The sequence below is a fragment of the Homo sapiens genome, chromosome 2 (genome assembly GCF_000001405.40).
Source record: "Homo sapiens chromosome 2, GRCh38.p14 Primary Assembly".
In the NCBI taxonomy this organism is placed as follows: Eukaryota; Metazoa; Chordata; class Mammalia; order Primates; family Hominidae; genus Homo; species Homo sapiens.
The window spans coordinates 218,213,625-218,234,160 of record NC_000002.12 but is presented as its reverse complement, the minus strand read 5'-3'; the positions used below and the strand labels follow the sequence as shown (position 1 = coordinate 218,234,160).

Here is a 20,536-nt window from a genome sequence, read left to right as displayed (position 1 = left end):
AGTATCTTTTTATGCCTGGGACAGAGTGCAATGGCGCGATCTCGGCTCACCACAACCTCCGCCTCCTGGGTTCAAGTGATTCTCCTGCCTGAGCCTCCCAAGTAGCTGGGATTATAGGCATGCGCCACCATGCCCGGCTAATTTTTTTTTGTATTTTTAGTTGAGATGGGGTTTCTCCATGTTGGTCAGGCTGATCTTGAACTACTGACCTTGGATGATCCACCCGCCTCGTCCTCCCAAAGTGCTGGGATTATAGGCATGAGCCACTATGCCTGGCCGAGAATCTTTAATCAAAGCTCATCCTTTTTTAGGACTTGACTACACCCTTAATATGTTCTCTGTTCTCCTCCAGATCCTACATTGTACTTAATCATGTTTTGTTTTCAAGAGAGCAAAAGGATGCCAAATTCCAAGTGAGAGAACAGATTGTTAGTTATCAACCTAAGTACAGACTGAGCCACTAACCCAGGTGAATAAAGAGAAAAAACCAGGACTCTCGGGAACTGATCTGTTTGTCTGCTGATCTTGTATGCTTTAAAATTACTCAGTGCATAGCCAGCTCTTAAGGCAAAGGACAGTCAATAATGAAATCTTAGCTAGCTATTAATACTGGTGTCCAGAAGGTTGTATACTCTCCATGTCTTTCCCCCCAAACCAGAACCTACTGCTGGCTACTTTCCAGGTTTTTGAATTAAATGAAAACAACAACAAAAAAAACCCAAAAAACCAAGAACCCCTTTTATACCTTCTGCTATGGTTTGAATGTCCTTTCGAAAACTCATGTTAAAAATTATGATTTTTTTTTTTTGAGACGGAGTCTTACTCTGTTGTCCAGGCTGGAATGCAGTGGTGCAATCTCAGCTCACTGCAACCTCCATCTCCTGGGTTCAAGCGATTCTCCTGCCTCAGCCTCCTGAGTAGCTAGGACTACAGGCATGCACCACCATGCCTGGCTAATTTTTCCACACCCAGCCAAAATTTACGATTATTATTATTGTTTTGGAAGCAGGGTCTTACTCTGTAGTCCAGGCTACAGTGCATTGATACAATAGCTCACTGCAGCCTTGAACTTCTAGGCTCAAGTGATCCTTCTACCTTGGCCTCCCAAAGTACTGGGATTACAGGAGTGAGCCACCATGCCTGGCCACATGTTGAAATTTAATTGCCACTGTGACGGTAATAGGTGATTAGGCCATGAGGGCTCTGCCCTCATGAATGGATTCATGTTGTTATAGGGGAAGTTGGTTTGTTATTCACAAGAGGGGCTGTTAAAAAAGTGAGTCTGGGCTAGGTATGGTGGCTCATGCCTGTAATCCCAGCACTTTGGGAGGCCGAGGCGGGGTGATCACGAGGTCAGGAGATTGAGACCATCCTGGCTAACACAGTGAAACCCCATGTCTACTAAAAATACAAAAACAAAAAAATTAGCTGGGCATGGTGGCAGGCGCCTGTAGTACCAGCTACTTGGGAGGCTGAGGCGGGAGAATGGCGTGAACCCGGGAGGCAGAGCTTGCAGTGAGGTGAGATCGCGCCACTGCACTCCAGCCTGGGTGCACTCCAGCCCGGGTGACAGAGCAAGACTCCGTCTCAAAAAAAAAAAAAAAAAAAAAAAAATTGAGTCTGGCCCTCTCTTGCCCTTCTGCCTTTTGCTACAGGATGACGGGAAAGGGCACGAAGGCCCTTGCCAGATGCTGGTGCCACGCTCTTGGACTTCCCAGTCCCCAGAACATGAGTCAAATAACATATTTTCTTCATAAATTATTCAGTCTGTGGTATTCTGTTATAGCAACAAAAAACAGACTGAGACTCCCTATTTTTTTCTCTGTCACCGTGACTGCTTCACCTGGTGGAAACTGCTTCCAGAATGACATGGCTTAAGAAACAAACATTTTATTTTAATTTAATTAATTCTTTTTTTTTGAGACGGAGTCTCACTCTGTCACCCAGGCTGGAGTGCAGTGGCGTGATCTCGGCTCATTGCAACCTCCACCTCCTGGGTTCAAGCAATTCTCCTGCCTCAGCCTCCCTAGTAGCTGGGATTACAGGTGTCCACCACCACACCAAGCTAATTTTTATATTTTTTAGTAGAGATGGGGTTTCACCATGTTGCCCAGGCTGGGCTCGAAATCCTGACCTCAAGCAATCCACCTGTCTTGGCCTCCCAAAGTGCTGGGATTACAGGCGTGAGCCACTGCGCCTGGCCTACTTATTTATTTATATACAAAGACAGGGTCTCACTACGTTGCCCAGGCTGGGCTTGAACTCTTGACCTCAAGCGATGCTCCTGCCTTGGCCTCCAAAAGTGCTGGGATTACAGGAATGAGCCCCCACGCCTGGCTGAACAATAATTTCCTAATATTCCACATATTTATTTAACCATTTTCCTATAGCTGGAAGAAATTTTCAACCTGCAAGACTACATTTTCTTACACAAGGGCAAAAGATAAATAATGCCACCTGTAGTTCCTATTTGGTGATTGCACAGCCACTGTGAGGTATTTCTTTTACCGAAGAGGAATTGAGAGGAGGGGCTCAAGGTCACGAGAGTTTCTTGGTGGCACAGAGAGACTTGACCTTCAGGTGTCTGATATACCACTTCTTTAAAAAAAAGTAACATGCATATCCCAAGAATTTGAAACAGCATGCGACCTCTGAGCTACAAGTCTGTGTTGCACGTACTATTGGTATTTCGAGGAAGGGGAAATCAGATGTGGTGGGGATTTAGTTTAAATCCCTAAGTCCCTAAGATTTAGTTTAATTTCAAGCTTACTAAGTTAATATTCTGAGATCTAAGAGGTACTGAGAGCCAAATTTATATCATGTTCAACTGCTTTGCTCCCTCCCCTTGGTAAAACCAGCCAACACTTCCTTGTCACTTCACTTGCACTTTTAACCATGATTCACTTTTCAGTTTGTACCCCCTCTCCCAATGACACCAGGAGATGGGTGGAGGCAACCTATCACTCATCACCATTACCTTCCCACTCTAGCAGCAGAGGCATTCCACCTTTAAAAATGGCCTGTGACAAAGTAATAACCTTCCTGTGGTTATCATGGGTTGGTCACTGTTTAACCAACCCAGGGAGCCATTTACTGTGCACTCTGCTCCAACACTATGAATGTTACTTACTCCACCCACTTGAGTGGGTGGGGCTGGTTCTTTGACCCTTGTGGTAGCTACAAGAATAGCAATGTGTTCTGGAGCTCCATCGTAAGAAAAGCACAGAATGGAAAGGAGATTTAAGAAATCTAGCTTAACTCTTTCTTTCCAGGATTATTATTATTGCATTTAGATCTTTTCCTTTTTTTGAGGTGGAATCTCACTATGTCGTCCAGGCTGGACTTGAACTCCTGGGCTCCAGCAACTCTCCCCACTTGAACCCCTCAAGCCAACTGTGTGAAGTCCCAACACACAGTTGGCACTACAGGTGTGTGCCACTGTGCAGGCTTGCACCTAGTGAAGACTGTCTAGGGGAGAATGATTACACAATTTAAAAAAAGTCTATTCAAATATTTTAACACTTCTTTTCAGGTAGTTATAGCTGATCCAAAGCAGCGATGCAGCTGGACATGGTGGCTCACATCTATAATCCCAGCACTTTGGGAGGCCCAGGAAGGAGGACTGCTTGAGCCCAGGAGTTTGAAACTAGCCTGGGCAACATAGTGAAACCTCCTCTCTCTAAAGAACAAACAAACAAAAAATAAGCCAGGTGTGGTGGCACGTGCCTGTAGTCCCAGACACTCAGGAGGCTGAGGTGAGAGGACTGCTTGAGCCTGGGAGGTTGAGGGGTGCAGTGGCTGTGATTGTGCCACTGCACTCCAGCCTAGGTGACAGAACAAGACCTTGTCAAAAAAAAAAAAAAAAAAAAAAAAGAAAAAAAAAAGAAAAGGCTGGGCACGGTGGCTCACACCTGCAATCTTAGCACTGTGGGAGGTCGAGGCAGGCAGATCACCTGAGGTCAGAAGTTTGAGAGCAGCCTGGCCAATGTGGTGAAACGCCATCTCTATGAAAAGTACAAAAAATTAGCCAGGTGTAGCGGTGCATGCCTGTAATCCCAGCTACTCAGGAGGCTGAGGCAGATGAACTGCTTGAACCCAGGAGTTGGAGGTTGCAGTGAGCTGAGCTGGCGCCACTGCAGTACAGCCTGGGGCAACAGAGTGAGACTCCACCTCAAAAAAAAAAAAGAGGCAGGGCTGCTTTAATAGCCATTTGTTTTCTTTCACTCTTTATCTGGTAAAGAAGTGTCAGCCACTATCTTTTACAAAACAATTCTTCATAAGCTTTATAAAAGCACTAGGTCTTCTTTCTGAAGCTTTTCTTTTTCCAGTAAACTAATCTGGATTCCAAATCCTCTAAATATTTCTTCTTTCTTTGAACTTATGAGAAAATCAATTGCATTTGAATAACTAAGGGAAGCAACCAATGGCTCTTGGTATTAAGACTAATTTTAGTTTTTATGCTAAAAAATTAAACAAGCTTTTGACCATATTCCTTTACAAATCATCTTTTATTATATAAGTTTTAAATAATTCAAAAGCTACTACTTTTCAGAAAGAAACAGCTATGGTTATATCTTCATTTAACAGATTAAGGAGAACCTAGTTTGTTAAAACTAAGAAATTTGAAAACTGATTCAGGAACTGAGTCATATTTCCTGCTTTGAGACCCAACCACAGCGTGCACAAACTGGTGTAATAGCATTTTCTTTCTTCCATAAATGGCTCTCCTCAGAGCAAATACAGTTCAACAGGAACCAAACCTGCTACTTAACTATTTAAAGAAGCCAGTGAACAAGGCATGGCCACCGAAGTTTCATAATGTCTGGACATCTTTCTTATTTCCCCTATGGTAGTTATAAAGAAGAGATATTTAAAGACGGTAGCTTTAAAGAGCTTTAATTAAAAATTTCAAAAGACAGCTATTTGTGCCTAAGCCTCCAGAATGAGAACCTGAGACTATAAAATTTAAACAAGCTAGAAGTTATCTATCTGCCTTGATAATATTACAAAAATAGAACAGAACCTAATTCTTGCAACAGCTATTTTTGTACTGATCAAGGAAAAGTATTCTTTGCTATGTTTTTGGAGAACTAAAGCTATTTTTGTTTCCATTGTTTTAAAGCAAGCAAGCAAGAGTCAAAACCTTTTCTAGGAAACACAATTCATTATAGGAATCAAGTCAAGAGCCCCTAGTTAGGTGAGCAAGTAGTCATGTGGGGGTGATTTAGTGCCATGGATCTTCCATGAATGGCAAACTGCCAATGAAAGGTGAGGAAACAAGAGTCCCAAGGAAAATGATGTGGATCTTACCTCATCAGCACCATGTGCCTGAAGTTCCTTGTAGAATTTCAAAGAAATACTGACCATCACTTTTGTTTTGTCTCCATTAGGATTTGAAATATGATAGAGGACCCCATCGAAATCTGTGAGGAAAGCAAATAAGATTGCGTAACAATTTGGGAATGGGAAATAATCTCTCCAAGCGCCTACCTTGCCGTAGGCCACAAGGAAGACCACTTTTAAGGAGGCATGTAAGTAAAATGGAACTTATTTTAAATCCATGTGACAAATCAGCAGAAACACTGGGATAGAATTGCTGAGCACTTGTTTCTTTGCTCTTTCTTAAAATTACAAAGCTATTCTTTCCTTAATCACAGCTTGGTGCTGAAATAATTGGATTTTACATGTATATAAGCAGAACGAACAGTATAATGAACTCTCATCTCCATCATGAGGCTTCAACGATTTTTTTTTTTTTGAGATAGAGTCTTACTCTGTCACCCAGGCTGGAGTGCAATGGTGTGGTCTCGGCTCACTGCAACCTCTGCCTCCCAGGTTCAAGAGATTCTCCTGTCTCAGCCTCCCGAGTAGCTGGGACTACAGGCATGTGCCACCACACCCAGCTAATTTTTGTATTTTTAGTACAGACGGGGTTTCACTGTGTTGGCCAGGCTGGTCTCGAACTCCTGACCTCATGATCTGCCCACCTCAGCCTCCCAAAGTGCTGGGATTACAGGCGTGAACCACCTTGCCCAGCCTCAACAATTATTAACACATGGACAATTCTTGTTTCATTTAGACATCCTCCTTCCCATTGATTTATTTTGAAGCAAATCCCAGATACAACACATAATTTCATCCATAAATACTCAGAATATATCTTTGGAAGATACAGAAGACTATTTGTTAAAAAACATAACCATGATACTAGTGTCATGCCTAAATTTTTAAAAACAATTTCTTAATATCAAATATTCAGTCAAGGCCGGGCACAGTGGCTCAAGCCTGTTAACCCAGCCTGTTAACTTTGGGAGGCCGAGGTGGGTGGATCACTTGAGGTCAGGAGTTCAAAACCAGCCTGGCCAACATGGTGAAACCCTGTCTCTACAAAAATTACAAAAAATTAGCTGGGTGTGGTGGCACATGCCTGTAATCCCAGCTACTTGGGAGGCTGAGACAGGAGAATCGCTTGAACCCGGGGGGTGGAGGTTGCAGTGAGCCAAGATCATGCCATTGCACTCCAGCCTGGGCGACAGAGCAAGACGCTGTCTGGAAAAAAAAAAAAAATTAGCCGGGTGTGGTGGTGGAGATCTGTAGTCCCAGCTACTTGAGAGGCGGAGGCAGGAGAATCGCTTGAACTCGGGGAGGTGGAGGCGGCAGTGAGCAGATTATCAACGCCACTGCACTCCAGCCTGGGTGACAGAGTGAGACTCAGTCTCAAAAAAACAAAACAAATATTCAGTCAAGTATTTAAATATTCTCTACTGTCTCAAAAAATTTTAAGCATTGTTGTCTTATTTGAATTAAGATGCAAACAATATCCACACATTGCATTTGGTTATCTTTTGAGTTGCTTCTAATCTATAGGACTCCCCTCTTTTTCGGTTCTATCTTTCTGCAGTACACAGGACTGACTCAGCCTGTGTAATTCCTGAAACTAGGAATAGGTTCCTGAAACTAGAATTAGGTGCTGAGTGCCATCACTTTATGGAGCTGTCATGGGAATCACGAAGGGATATCTGGCAATGCCAGTTAGTAGGAGGGTAAAGGGATGGTGCCTGGCCTCCAGGTAACAGCACTTCAGAGCTGCAAAAGTCTTCCAAGATCATCTTGTCGAGGACTCTTGTTGTAGAAAGGGTGGTTGTATTCCTCTGAGTTCATTCACCTAACAAGTAAATAGTACCAACACCTAATTCTTTATAGGGAACAGAAAGCAGCAACATCTCTCTCTGACTTGATGAACACATCTCTAGCTGTTCATGTTTCCCTACTACTCTAGTGCTAGGCAAACTAAGACTGACAGCTACTTGAAGATAATGTAATATTTCCAAATTAAAAAAAAAACACAACAAAAAAACCTCAGTTTTACCACAAAATTAAATCCAAACTTCTAATTTATCAGCAGGTAACTTTATATTGTCAGTCATCAGTGGATTAAATACATGAAATGGTCATCTATTATAAAGAGCTCAAAAAGACCTGATGAGGGACAGTATCCAAAATGTCAAAGCTTTTTTTTTTTTTTTTTTTTTTTGAGATGGAGTCTCACTGTCGCCCAGGCTGGAGTGCAGTGGCGCGATGTCTGCTCACTGCAAGCTCCGCCTCCTGGGTTCATGCCATTCTCCTGCCTCGGCCTCCGGAGTAGCTGGGACTACAGGTGCCCGCCACCATGCCCAGCTAATTTTTTGTATTTTTAGTACAGACAGGGTTTCATCATGTTAGCCAGGATAGTCTCGATCTCCTGACGTCGTGATCCGCCTGCCGTGGCCTCCCAAAGTGCTGGGATTACATGCATGAGCTACCGCACCCAATCCATGTCAAAGCTTATTTTAGGTACAATTTTCTTTTCTTGTCTCTCTCTTTTTTTTTTTGAGACAGTCTCACTGTATCGCCCAGGCTGGAGTGCAGTGGTGTGATCTCAGCTCACAGCAACTCCTGCCTCCCAGTTCAAGTGATTCTCCTGCCTCAGCCTTCCGAGTAGCTGGGATTACAGGTGCCCACCACCATGCCCGGCTAATTTTTGTATTTTTAGTAGAGGGGGTTTCACCATGTTTGCCAGGCTGTTCTTTAACTCTTGACATCAGGTGATCCACCTGCCTCGGACTCCCAAAGTGCTGGGATTACAGGCATGTGCCACTGCACCCAGCCTATTTCCTATTTTTCATATTGTACCTTCTCTTCAGAGGGCTGAGATAAAGATGCTTACCTGCAAATGTTACTTCTACTGCTTCCGGTTTGTTTCTGTAAACAACAAAAAAGGTCCTCAGTTAAGATGACTGTATTGCTGCTTACCTTCAAAGGGAACTGGAAAGGCACCTGAGCTTCACTTAAGATCAGACCATTCTGTATAAATTTTAGGTTACTGCCAATCAGAGTACACAATTCATTTTCTCATGGACCTGAACCTTTGGACTTGCTTTAAGTAGAGGATAAAAAAGGAAGGTCAGATAAAAAAGGAAGGCCAGCTATAGCTTTTGTTTTTCACCTGCTGTTGAATCTACTGCTTTGGTTGGTGCTCACTTTCAATTCTGAATTTCCTAACAACATGCTATATACCACAAAATGCCATCTTTTGGTCAATGCCTTCCCCACAGGACAGTGGTATTAGGAGTAAAACGTTCAGCAGGAAAATGGCTAAGTATAATGTAGAATGGTTTTAATATGCTTAAAGAGAAAGGATGATTTCGGGCCATAAACAAAACGGCAAGTTCTATTCCACTTCAAAACCCGTCTGTAAGCCTTCCTACTCATCTTTCTTTCTTCCTTTACATCACCAAAGTACTTACCACTCACCTTCAAGAAACCCTCTTTAGTTCTACCCTAGTTTTGTCTTGCTTTGTAAATTCCAGCTCGGAACTTAAAATAGACAGTGTAACACAAAATAACACTATGAAATCACTAAGAATAGTCAGGACATCTGCTTTACAACTTTAGCTTTCTCATCACGCTCATGTTTTGGGACAAATACCCTTACACCTTTGCATTCTCCCCTATCATCAATAAAATGGGGGAATAAAAATGAACCTATTTACCTCATGGAACTACTACATATAACACAAGAACAGACCTGAAGTCCAAAGTAGGAAGCAAATGAAGACTATTGCCTTACCAGCTAGCTACCTGTAAACTCAATGATTCCACTTTGTTTTAGGGGCTAGCAAACAAGATGCGCATGTTTTCACATTTATTTTTGTCTAACTTGCTCAAGACCTCTTAATCAAGTACGTATCTTTCCACGATCTCTGCTCCATTACCTGCGAAAGAAACGAAGACTAAGTTGCTCTCCAGGGATGCTGGGAAATAATGGAATATATAACATGGTTTATGAGTGTTAAAAAGCTGATATAGAAGCCAGACAATACCTTTCAAAAAAACTGGCTTCTATGAAGCATGCTAGCCCTGCTGAAAAATCAACCTATACGAATCATACAAAGCTTCACCTTGCTTCTTCAAAGCCCTATATGTGACTTAGGAAAAGCGCACTGGGTATCTCTACGAATTGAAGTATCAAGTGGGTTTACGGAGAAGCAGAGAGTTCAGAATAGAAGGAAAAAACTAGATGAAAATTTAAATTGCTTCTGAGCCTTCATTTTGAAACTGTAGCCAGGAAACAAAGGCAACGAGTCCAATACCATTCCTCACCTCTAGAAAACAAGAGCAAAGAACAAAAATATGGAAATGTTAATCATGGACCAACTGAATGAAATATTAAGAGGATGACCAATGGGAGGAAGCATGGAAGCATACTTTCCTGGGGAAGGCTGACTGTGCTGAAGAGTCAGGGAGTTTATAAAAGCCCATTATTACATCACTTAGTAAGTTTTTTTTTAACCTTTAGGTTTTAATTCAGCCAAAGAAGGGCTGAGTTCCTCACTCTCCTACTTTGTCAAAAGACCTGAGAAAAACCAACTATAAATAAATAACCTTTGGGCTCCAAGTCATACACACTTTGAGTCTCTAATTTCAAATTTCTCTAGGCATAAAGTATCCTGAGCACAGATCCTTGTGGGAAAAGTTGCTACGATCGATCTTAAGTGGTCTGCTGTCTGACTTAGCAATATTTGTCAAATCACATTCATTAATATTTTAGTTTACTATTTATGGCTAGAAGAGAGAGAATGGCTGCTGAGGAGAGTATTAGGCCAAAGGAGACTTCATGGGAAGTCTTCTGGGAGTTAGAGGTCCGAGAACTCAGTGCCTTAACGATGAGTTTGCTGAGCGTGAAGTATACCATCACAAGATTGCTTCTCAATTCCAAGACCTGGCGTTTGTTATTTTACTTCTGTGGTTTAAAATTACAAAGGAGCGGGAGGAAGACTGGCCCAGGAAAAGTGTTCCACTAAATAGGCCCCCAGAATTAATAGTTACATTATTTACTGTTCTACCAGCTGCTAAAATTTCAGATGCTGGGGGTGAGAAAAAGCAAGTTATTTAGAATTCAGAATTTATTGGCTATGTGACCACAGGCAATGCTCCTCAAATGTCACCGGGCCTCAGGTTCCTCTTCTACAAAATGGGGACAAAACATCTACCTCCCAGGTTGGTGTGAAGACTGAGATGATATATGTCCAGCAGTACAGCAGTCTCCCCTTATCTGTGGGGGATATGTTCCAAGACACCCAGTGGATAAATAAAAGTGTGGATAGCACTGAACTGTAGCAAAGAAACACCAAGGTCACTTTTTTTACTTAAAGGAATCACTTCATGGGTTCTCTTTGGCATATCCAAATTGCCAGCATCATTACTCCTGTACTTTGGAGCCATTATTAAGTAAAATAAGGGTAACTTGAACACAAGCACTACAATGCTGTGACAGTCAATCTGATAACCTAGACAGCTATTAAGCGACTAACAGAGGGTAGCGTACACACTGTAGATATGCTAGACAAAAAGATGATTCATGTCCTGGGCGGGACAGCGCAAGATTTCATTATGCTACTCAGAATGGTGCACAATTTAAAATTAATGGATTGTTTATTTCTGGGATTTTCCATTTAATATTTTCAGACCATGGTTCACTGCTCACTGCAGGTAACTGAAACTGCAGAAAGCAAAACCACAGATAAGGGGGGACTACTGTACAGCAAAGTTTCTCAAACGGTGTCTTTTAAGTTATAGATATGCTGAGGTAATGATCCCCATATCCCTTAGGGCAGGCAGCAGGTGGCAGGATCTCTGAGAGGCTAGACCATTTACCCAAATGTGCCATACAAATACAATCATGTTCTGTGTGCCATACGATAAACAAGGTCAAGAATCACAGTGAAGGATGCCTGCACGGTGCTTACTTAATATGTAGTAGTTACTTATTCAATATCTACCCCCACCCCCAATCCTCAAGAGCCCTGGTTTTCTCAGTTGTAAATGAGATCCACTATCTGTCACAGAAATGAAATGAAACCATGTTAAGGCATATAGCACAGTGCCTAGCTCATAGAAGGTAATCAATAAATTAGTTCTTCTCCTAGGTGGAGTCAGAGATCGGACTCTGAAGCTGTGGTTGGGAGAGGTTTTAGGATTGCGGTAATTCCCTGAATCAGGAATTGGTTAGCAGTACAAGGAAAAACAGAACTCCTATAAGTGTCAGACTGCTGTAATGTCTGGAATCCTAGAACAAGCCGGCTGGGTAAGTCCTCAGAGTTACTGCCTGGACAACCCAAGACACTAAAACATAATCAATTCATTCAGACAGGTTTTAAGAGCTATTCTTAAAACCCTTTAGAAAAAATTTTCTTCTATCTTTTCTCTAAGGAAGCTTCTAGAATGTCAATAATCAATCCAGAAAGGGCTTCTGGCAACTGTATTATCTCATCTTCTTTTCTCATTAACAACTTTGGGGTTTTTACTCCTGAATGCACCCTAGGATCCAATTCCCCATTTTTTTCTTTTTTCTTGAGATGGGGTCTCGCTCTGTCACCCAGGCTGGAGTGCAGTGGTGCCACCTCTGCTCACTGCAACCTCCGCCTCCTGGGTTCAAGTGATTCTCCAGCCTCAGCTTCCTGAGTAGCTGGGATTACAGGTGTGCGCCACCACACCTGGCTAATTTTTGTATTTTTAGTAGACATATGTTTTGTCATGTTGGCCAGGCTGGTCTCAAACTCCTGACCTCAAGTGATCCGCCCTCCTTGGCCTCCCAAAGTGCTGGGATTACAGGCGTGAGCCAGGGTGCCTGGCCCCAATTCCCCATTTGGGCATTTATGTCTCTCTCCTACTTATCCCTTCTTATGTCCTGAATTAGAGGAATTACTGAATTCTGCTCACTATAAAGGTTTCTGAGCATTCTCCTTTAAATCTTCTATAAAGCTCCCATCATTCTTTTTGAGCAAAGCCTAAAAAAATAGATCATATTAGGTAAGAGGTGGTCCTATTCTCCACTAAGCCATATATCAAAATATGGAGAACAGAGACCTAAAAGCTGATTTACTCAATGTCACAAAAATGTCAGCTCCTAAAGAAACAAGGAATCATTCTATCTGGCTTCATTAATTTCTTCAATAAACCAATTTACTGAGTTGACTATATACACAATGAGGATGCTGGGGAAACAAAGATGATTAAAGTGATAGACCCAGCTCTTAAGGAGTTATCAGTTTGGTCCAGCACAGCTCTGGGGCTTCAGGACCAAAGTGGTCCCAAGTAGGCCACAGGACAGGTGGCAGTGTGTAATTAACTACAGTGACCTGTAAAAAGACCAACCAGGTCTTCTTACTGAGTTGGACACAACATTCCATTTCTTCTAAATGCTTAAACAATGTCCTAATTCCAAATCACTCCAAACAGCCTGTCTCTCTGAGGACATATGCAATATATTTGGGAATGAGAACAGAGTATCAGCAAGATTTAATTTATTCCTTTTTCAAATTTCTCTTCCCATCATCCTCGCCCACCCCAACTGGCACTGCTTGCTTACTGAGTTTCACTCCCCCCCATGGAACCACAGCTCCCCGCAATATACACTGGCTGTGGCACGGAGCCAGCACACACTTAAATCCAACAGCAATTTGCATCTGACAGAATTTCCTCAATTTTGGACTCCAGACTCCAGCTAAGTTGACAGGCCTAGCTTCTCAGTTATGAAACGGTTCTTGGTGTGTACACTAACGAAAGAATTAAATTAATTTGTCTGATTACTTTTGCTTTGAGGGTCTGGGTAAGAATTTCCAAATGAAAAGGCAATGCTGTTGATCAGACCTGTGCATGAGGTTATTTGCAGTGTTGGGCATAGCTTTTAAGTCAGTCACATTCTCTTAGTTTGTGGGCTGCTGGGAAGACAATTTACCAATAATTATTATTTTGTGACAATCTATGAGTTGTTTCAATAAGCCACTTCCCAGAAGTGTGTAGGAAAAAATTAAAAAGCAATCTGTTTGGAATGAACCTTAGGCTTTGTCAAACTGCCTCCAAATTAAAAGGTTATGATCAAATGTATTCTTAAACAGTTTAGATGACAACACTGCTTTACCCAAAAGAAAGCTGATACTTTTAGTAGGAGGCCACTGGTGAGAAGATCCAGCAGGATGATCTGAGAGGAATCATTAAAAAAAAAAAAAATCAACTTCAAATGGAAAATTAATGCAACTATATTCTGAAGTATATGCCACAGAACTATTTTTAAGACCATCTCATGCTTTCATTTTCAGAAGCTGGAACAGTGCTAATAGAACTTTGCAATAATGGAAATGTTCCATGTCTGTGCTAAATACAACAGCTACCAGCCACATGTGGCAAATGAGCACCAGAAATGTGGCTAGTGTGACCGAGGAACTCAATTTTATTTCAACTTAATTTTTACTTAAATTTAGCCAGCCACTTTGTATGGCTATCTTATTGGACATCACAGAGATGGAAGATGCACTCTGGAAAAGGCTGCTCCGAACTGTAATTTCCCCCATCGGTTTATTCTGAGAAGTGCAAAAAGTAGGGTGGAGCTGACCTCTCCTAGCAGGTTCCCACACCAGCAAAGCCTTTCAAATCTCCAGGGTTTCTCCTCCAAACTACTCCCTTTAATGTCTTTCTCTGATCTCCACCCCAACACCTTTCACCCCTTAGCACCTCCCTAACTTGGCTAATAGGCTCTCAGAGAGGCCCCTTTTTTTCTGTTGCTGCCTGGGCTGAGCACTGGTAGAATCCCATACATGTTTATGATAACCACACTAGGCAAACTCTGCTGTAAGTTCTGGAATAGGCATGCACCTTGCCTTACCTTACTGGAATGTCTGATAATTTACATTTGCTTCATTCGGGCTTCTACTGGGTGATACATCTGTAATCCCAGGAGAGCCCTGCCTACCAGGCACAATATCATGGTCTCTTTTTTTTTAAAGATTTTCAAAGTTTCAAATTTTCAGCAGAATGTTTTGAGCCTGCTTATTGAAAACCACATCTCAAAGGGGGAGATGGGCCAGAATAAAAGCCTAGATTTATACACACATACACCCGCACATGTGCACAAGCATACACACCAGTGCACCCCCTATACAGCTTCCCTACAATGCATATCTTTGTAAAAAATGTCCTGAGGAAAGGAGCAGTGCTGTAATCCCAGCACTTTGGGAGGCCGAGGCGGGCGGGTCACTTGAGGCCAGGAGTTTGAGACCAGCCTGGCCAACATGGTGAAACCCCATCTCTACTAAAAATACAAATATTAGCCAGGTGTGGTAGCACGTGCTTGTAATCCCAGCTACTTGGGAAGCCGAGACATGAGACTCACTTGAGCCTGGGAGGGCGAGGTTGCAGTGAGCAGAGATCGCGCCACTGCATTCCAGCCAGTGAGAGACTCTGTCTCGGAAAAAAAAAAAAAAGTCCTGGAAGTTCTAACTTATGTCTTCCAGACTTGAGGGCCTATTTAATCCCTCCGAAATGGTTAGCTTCTCTTTTTAAGAATAATTTTCTAAAAGAAAAAGAAAGAACTGAAGTTCCGAATAATGGGCCACATTTTGGAATCACAAGTCATTAATACACAAATAGATGAGAATGTACTCCTATGTTAAAAGACATGCCTCTACTTGAAAATACACAGCCATTTATCTTGTAGATCAGCTTATAACCGCCCAGGTCTCATTCTTTGCTAGTCTGGACCTGAGAATGCATTAAGATCAGTTATGAAAATGCAGAAGTTAATTCAACTTCCTCCTATGTGTTACACTGCTCAGAAAAAAGTATACAGCAATCACCCAAAATAAGACTCTGGGCTGATTCATTTGAATATTTAAAATGCAAAGAAACTGGTAAGAGAGGCTAAGACAAGAAAGAAGCAAGTCAGCCTCAAATATAACCAACTGCAGCCCCTGGCAGGAAACAGTACTGCTCACTACACGTATTACTTCAAGGAAAGTAGTGCTTTGTTTTACAGATAAAATCTGTGGCCTTATAAAGGAGACAGGACATACTATATATTCAATTTAAATGGCAGTTAATACTTTCTAATGCCTCCAAGCCACAAGTACATTATGACCACTTAAAAATTCCCCTCTACCAATCTTCTCCCATCTGTGGATCTGCAAGCACTTTCCTATTACTAGTTCCCAGTTCACCAGAAACGGTCTGCACTTATTAACTGTGAAACCCAGATGTGAAGCCCCATGCTCATACATAGGGAAATGAGGCAAAGGGACTGGCCACAGGCCACCAAAAATTAGAACCCAAAATCCTTAGCTCATGTTTTAAATATTATACTAGAAAAGCAAAGCAGCTTTGGAGGAGCAGATTGTCTTCTACTGATTCTTGTGTTTGGCAGAGAGGCTGCCTTGGAAAGATGCCCTAAGCCCATCTTTTAAAAAGTCCAATCGTAAAGACAGGTTATCTAAGAACTTTATAGATTCTGGAGTCTTTGAAGTGTGTAACTGGGCCAGGGCTACCACAGAAGAAATCACAGACCTAGGGTCTTGATGTAAGAATTTACAAGATAACCAGATAAAGGCTAGTGGGTGAGGAGAGAGCATTAGAACCTCAAAGGAGAGATAAGGAAGGGGTGTGGAGCGAGGGACAATTGGCTTTGCTTTAAAAATATGTAACAAAATGGCCCAGTGTCTCTCACAGAAGGGTTCGGGGAAGGGAAACCAGAGATCGCGTTTTTCCGGCTCTAAGACTGGGTCGGCTTTTAGTCTTCTCTTCTGCTCCTTTTAAAGGAGATGGGGGTGGGGAACGAGAATGCTGGTGGCGATGTGGGCCTGCATCTCCTTCCCTCCTCCAGTCCTGGGAATTCCTGAAAACTCCTTCCAACCCAATTCCAAACAGGCTCTCTCTGGGTTCAGAACAATGCCGGGGAATTTCACGCAGGGAAGGGGTCCCCTTCTCGCCCCAGAGGGCAGGGGGCTACTCCGGAGCGAGTTCCGGCTCCAGGGTCCCCCACGTCCCACAGGTCTCCTGCCCTTTGGCACGCACAGCCCTCACCACTCGCTGCTTCCGCATCCCTCCTCTGAGCCTCTCCCCACGCATCTCTGCCCCTCGCCCGGCCGCGCCCAATCGCCTCCCACGTCTACCCCGCTGGGGCAGCCCCTACACCCTGCCAGGCACCCCATTTCTCTCCTCCAGGTCTGGGGGACTGGACAACATTGGGGATTAGCTGGGGTCAACTCTGCTTCCCCCGCCACCCCCGGCCCCGGGCGCGCGCTCACCCGGCGGCCGCGTTCTCGAACTTGAGCGCGAGCGTCTCCTCGATGATGCGGTTGTTCACCTCCAGCAGGATCATGGCGGCGGCTGCCCCCAGGGGAAGGAGAAACAAGGGCCGGTGAGGGTGGGTAAGGGAGGCAAGGACGGAGGGAGCGGCCCTGCTGCCCCCTGAGTGGGGCTGGGTGGGGTAGGAGGTTAGGGGAGAAGGGGAGAGGGGCCGGGGTGGAGGGAAGGGTAAGACGAACGCGCTGGCCCACGCACGCAGACTGTGGAGACACCCACCCACCCAACCGACCTGGCCCCCGAAGCCTGAACCCGCCTGCCGAGCCGCCGCCGCCGCCGCCACTGCCGCTTCACCGACAAGCCCGGTCCCCGCCCAGCCCCCGGCTCTAGCCGGCCACTTCCGCTCTCACACCCACTTCCGCTCGCCGCCTGGACGCGCGGCCCCGCGGCGCCATTTCCGCTTCAACCACTCGTGAACGCGAGCGCAGGCGCGCCGGAGGAAACGGAGGCTGCGCTTGCGTATGTGTGATGCCGCCGCCCCACCGTCTACTTTCCCACCGACCCCGCTTACGTCTACCGCCTACCAGTGCGTCCCCCGCGGAGCTGTCATTCCCCGAGGCTTGCCTGACTGTTCAGCTTCTCTCTCCCGCTTGTCCCAGAGATCCAACTCCATTCTTCCGGTCTTGTCATTTCAGAAACCTCGCAAGAAGCTCGCCCTTGTCGTCTCCCAGCGGGCTTCTTAGCTCCCAGCTTGTTTGATGGGGGTGCCTCTTTTTCTTTCCAGGTATAGCTGTCCAGCGACACCATCATGCATTCATTTCTCCAACAAACATTTTCATGGGCTCTTGCTCTATACTGGGGATGTAGTGGTAAATGAAATGGACGAGGCCCTGCCCTCGTGGAACTTACAGTCTGGCAAAGGAAACAGACAATAAAATTCTCAGTTGTCTAAGGAGGCAGAGATGCATGGGGAGAGGATCAGAGTAGGGATGCGGAAGCAGCGAGTGGTCAGGAGTGTGCGTGCCAAAAGGCAGGAGACCTGTGGGACGTGGGGGCAGCTGGGGCCGGAACTTGCGCTGGAGGAACACCCCTTGCCTGCTGGGGCGAGAAGAGGACCCTTTCCTTGGGTGAAATTCCCCATATTGTTAAAAGGACAATTAAAGAAATGAAAGAGAGGTCACCTGGGTGAATAGGCAACTTAGATGGGCCTCCCTGTGTTCCTGTCATGCCTCCAATTCTGCGTCCAGGTGTCCGGAACACATTTTTTTCTGCCTTTGAAACCTTCCAGTACCTCTGGCAGAGATATACCATACCCTCCTTGTTACCTGCGTGCGGAATCTTAACTCATCGTTGTGCTACATCTGCACCTTCTGCCTTTGTGCCTTGTTTTGTGTTTTCCCTCCTCCGGGGAGAATATAATAAACTTAGCTGAGTCCGTTCTACATACAAGGAAATAATTTATTTTCTGCTATGTGTTTGGGGATGGGGATAAAAAAATGAACAAGAAACTAGCTCCTATCATTAAGGCACAGATAGCCCTTTGAAACATTACTTAACGGGCTATGGATAAGCTTCAGGATATTGCTGATCCCCTAAAATTATACGCTAACTTAAATTTTTTTTTTTTTGAGACAGAGTCTTGCACTCTTGCCCAGGCTGGAGTGCAATGGCATGATCTCGGCTCACTGCAACCTCTGCCTCCCCGGTTCAAGCGATTCTCCTGCCTCAGCCTCCCAAATAGCTGGGATTAAAGGTGCCTGCCACCATGCCCTTTTAATGTTTTGTATTTTTAGTAGAGACGGGGTTTCACTATGTTGGTCAGGCTGGTCTCGAACTCCTGACATCATGATCCTCCTGCCTCGACCTCCCAAAGTGCTGGGATTACAGGCGTGAGCCACCATGCCCGGCCTTTTTTTTTTTTTTTTTTTAATTTGAGATGGTGTCTCACTCTTGTCACCCAAGCTGGAGTGACGTTGCTATCTCTGCTCACTGCCCGCCTCCCGAGCTCAGGTGATCCTCCTGCCTCGGCCTGCCAAATAGCTGGGACTATAGACATGCACCACCAAGCTGGGCTAATTTCTGTATATTTTGTAGAGACGGGGTTTGGCCGTATTGGGCACGCTGGTCTCAAACTCCTGGGTTCAAGTGATCCACCTGCCTTAGCCTCCTAAAGTGCTGGGATTACAGGCGTGAGCCACCATGCCCGACCGATAAGCTAGCTTTGTAACATTAATGACTATTGAACTAAAATAATGTTTATAAATTGTTTAAAATATGTATGCTTATAATACTAAAAGGCTTGTAATGAAAAAAGCAGTTCCCTGTCCTACTCTTTGGAGGCAATATGCTCAACTCTTTCACAAATTCATCCTGATATTTACCTTCATAATCCCTTTCTTTCTTTCTTTCTTTCTTTCTTTCTTTCTTTCTTTCTTTCTTTCTCTCTCTGTCTTTTTCTTTCTTTCTTTCTTTCTGATAGGGTTTCACTTTGTTACTTAGGCTGGTGTGCAGTGGCACACTCTTGGCTCACTGAAGCCCCGATTTCCCTGGGCCCAAGCAATCCTCCGGCCTCAGACCCCAACTAGCTGGGACTACAGGTGGCCACCAATATGTCCAGCTAATTTTTGTATTTTTAGTAGAGACAGGGTTTCACCGTGTTGCTTCGGCTGGCCTCGAACCCCTGAACTCAAGCGATCCGCCTGCCTTAGCCTCCTAAAGTGCTAGGATTACAAGTGTGAGTCACCGTGCCCGGCCTACCTTCATGTTTCTAAGTAAATGTTTATACCATTATTTTTTGGTTTGTGAATTTTTAGCATTATGTGTTGACTTCCTGACACGGTAGATAAGAACTTGACTCTATCACTTCTGCTTCCCACCATATATAGCTGCGTAATAACTTTTGGTAAAACCAATAATCTGCACCTAGCTGTATTAAAATTATTATGTATGCAAATATTGTTTACTGATGAGCCAAGAAATGCACTATAATCATGACTTCTAGTTTACATGGCCCTTCATTTTTCTTAGGGTTAATTATTGCCTTTTTTCTCTCATCTGTCTGATTTTCTGTAAACAGTATTTACAGTTGGTTTTTCCCCTCAAATGCTCTAAGACTATCAAAAAGTCTAGCAATAATGTTTTCCATATACTCAATATATAAGTTCCACTTTTTCTTTGGAGTTTTTGTCCCAGAGCCTTCCTTCCTCTTATTTCAATCTGGACTGGCTGCTCGCTAGACTTGCTGTACAGTTGTCATTCTGGAATTTTCCTTCATTGTTGTTCTGGGGTGGTTTTGCCCATTTCCTGGATCCCATGTCTTCCTCTTGGTTTACTTCCTTGTTTTGCTAAAGCATCTCCTCTAATAACTTCCTAAGAAAGGGAGATGGGGGATATATGTTGTTAGAATCTTTGCATATTTGAAAATATGTTACTTCTATTTAACACTTGATGTGTTGTTGGGCTAGATATTCAAGTTTGAAAATAATTTTCCCTTTTTTTTTGAAGGTATACTACATTTTCTTTTTTATTTATTTATTTTTTTATTATTATTATACTTTAAGATTTAGGGTACATGTGCACAATGTGCAGGTTAGTTACATATGTATACATATGCCATGCTGGTGTGCTGCACCCATTAACTCGTCATTTAGCATTAGGTATATCTCCTAATGCTATCCCTCCCCCCTCCCCCCACCCCACAACAGTCCCCAGAGTGTGATGTTCCCCTTCCTGTGTCCATGTGTTCTCACTGTTCAATTCCCATCTATGAGTGAGAACATGCAGTGTTTGTTCTTTTGTCCTTGTGATAGTTTACTGAGAATGATGATTTCCAATTTCATCCATGTCCCTACAAAGGACACGAACTCATCATTTTTTATGGCTGCATAGTATTCCATGGTATATATGTGCCACATTTTCTTAA

At 43.8% G+C, this 20,536-nt stretch overlaps 1 protein-coding gene and 1 long non-coding RNA gene across 6 annotated transcripts in view, besides 3 other annotated features; one reads left to right on the top strand and one right to left on the bottom strand.

Annotated features, from left to right (window-relative positions):
• Positions 1–16,972, bottom strand: part of ARPC2 (actin related protein 2/3 complex subunit 2) — a 37,160-nt gene extending 20,188 nt beyond the window's left edge. The window contains exons 1-4 of one of the 4 annotated variants that reach the window (NM_152862.3): positions 16,907–16,972; positions 16,617–16,698; positions 8,207–8,241; positions 5,311–5,423 (exon numbers count right to left, since the gene is read on the bottom strand). In NM_152862.3, coding sequence (NP_690601.1) covers positions 5,311–5,423; positions 8,207–8,241; positions 16,617–16,690 — 222 coding nt within the window. In that variant the 5' untranslated portion in view covers positions 16,691–16,698; positions 16,907–16,972. Of the gene's footprint in view, positions 1–5,310; positions 5,424–8,206; positions 8,242–16,616; positions 16,765–16,906 lie in introns of those variants that run through there. The other 3 variants (XM_017003113.2, NM_005731.3, XM_047442808.1) reach the window with 3 other exon arrangements.
• Positions 11,292–11,341: a silencer, noted in NCBI's record as "silent region_12312". NCBI's record gives its function as "represses an Ori minimal core promoter by ATAC-STARR-seq in GM12878 lymphoblastoid cells {active_cell/tissue: GM12878}" and the evidence as "EXISTENCE:reporter gene assay evidence [ECO:0000049][PMID:35858748]".
• Positions 16,360–16,963: an enhancer, noted in NCBI's record as "H3K27ac hESC enhancer chr2:219081921-219082524 (GRCh37/hg19 assembly coordinates)". NCBI's record gives its function as "activates a minimal SCP1, AML or CMV promoter by ChIP-STARR-seq in naive H9 embryonic stem cells {active_cell/tissue: H9 hESC(naive)}" and the evidence as "EXISTENCE:reporter gene assay evidence [ECO:0000049][PMID:30033119]".
• Positions 16,789–16,838: a silencer, noted in NCBI's record as "silent region_12311". NCBI's record gives its function as "represses an Ori minimal core promoter by ATAC-STARR-seq in GM12878 lymphoblastoid cells {active_cell/tissue: GM12878}" and the evidence as "EXISTENCE:reporter gene assay evidence [ECO:0000049][PMID:35858748]".
• On the top strand, positions 16,975–18,060 carry LOC101928487 (uncharacterized). 2 transcript variants are annotated; one of them, XR_923908.2, is made up of 2 exons: positions 16,975–17,133; positions 17,310–18,060. It is a non-coding gene; the product is annotated as an uncharacterized LOC101928487 (long non-coding RNA). The 2 variants fall into 2 exon arrangements; XR_241416.3 differs by having other exon boundaries at positions 16,975–17,200.
• Positions 18,061–20,536: the final 2,476 nt, after the last annotated feature.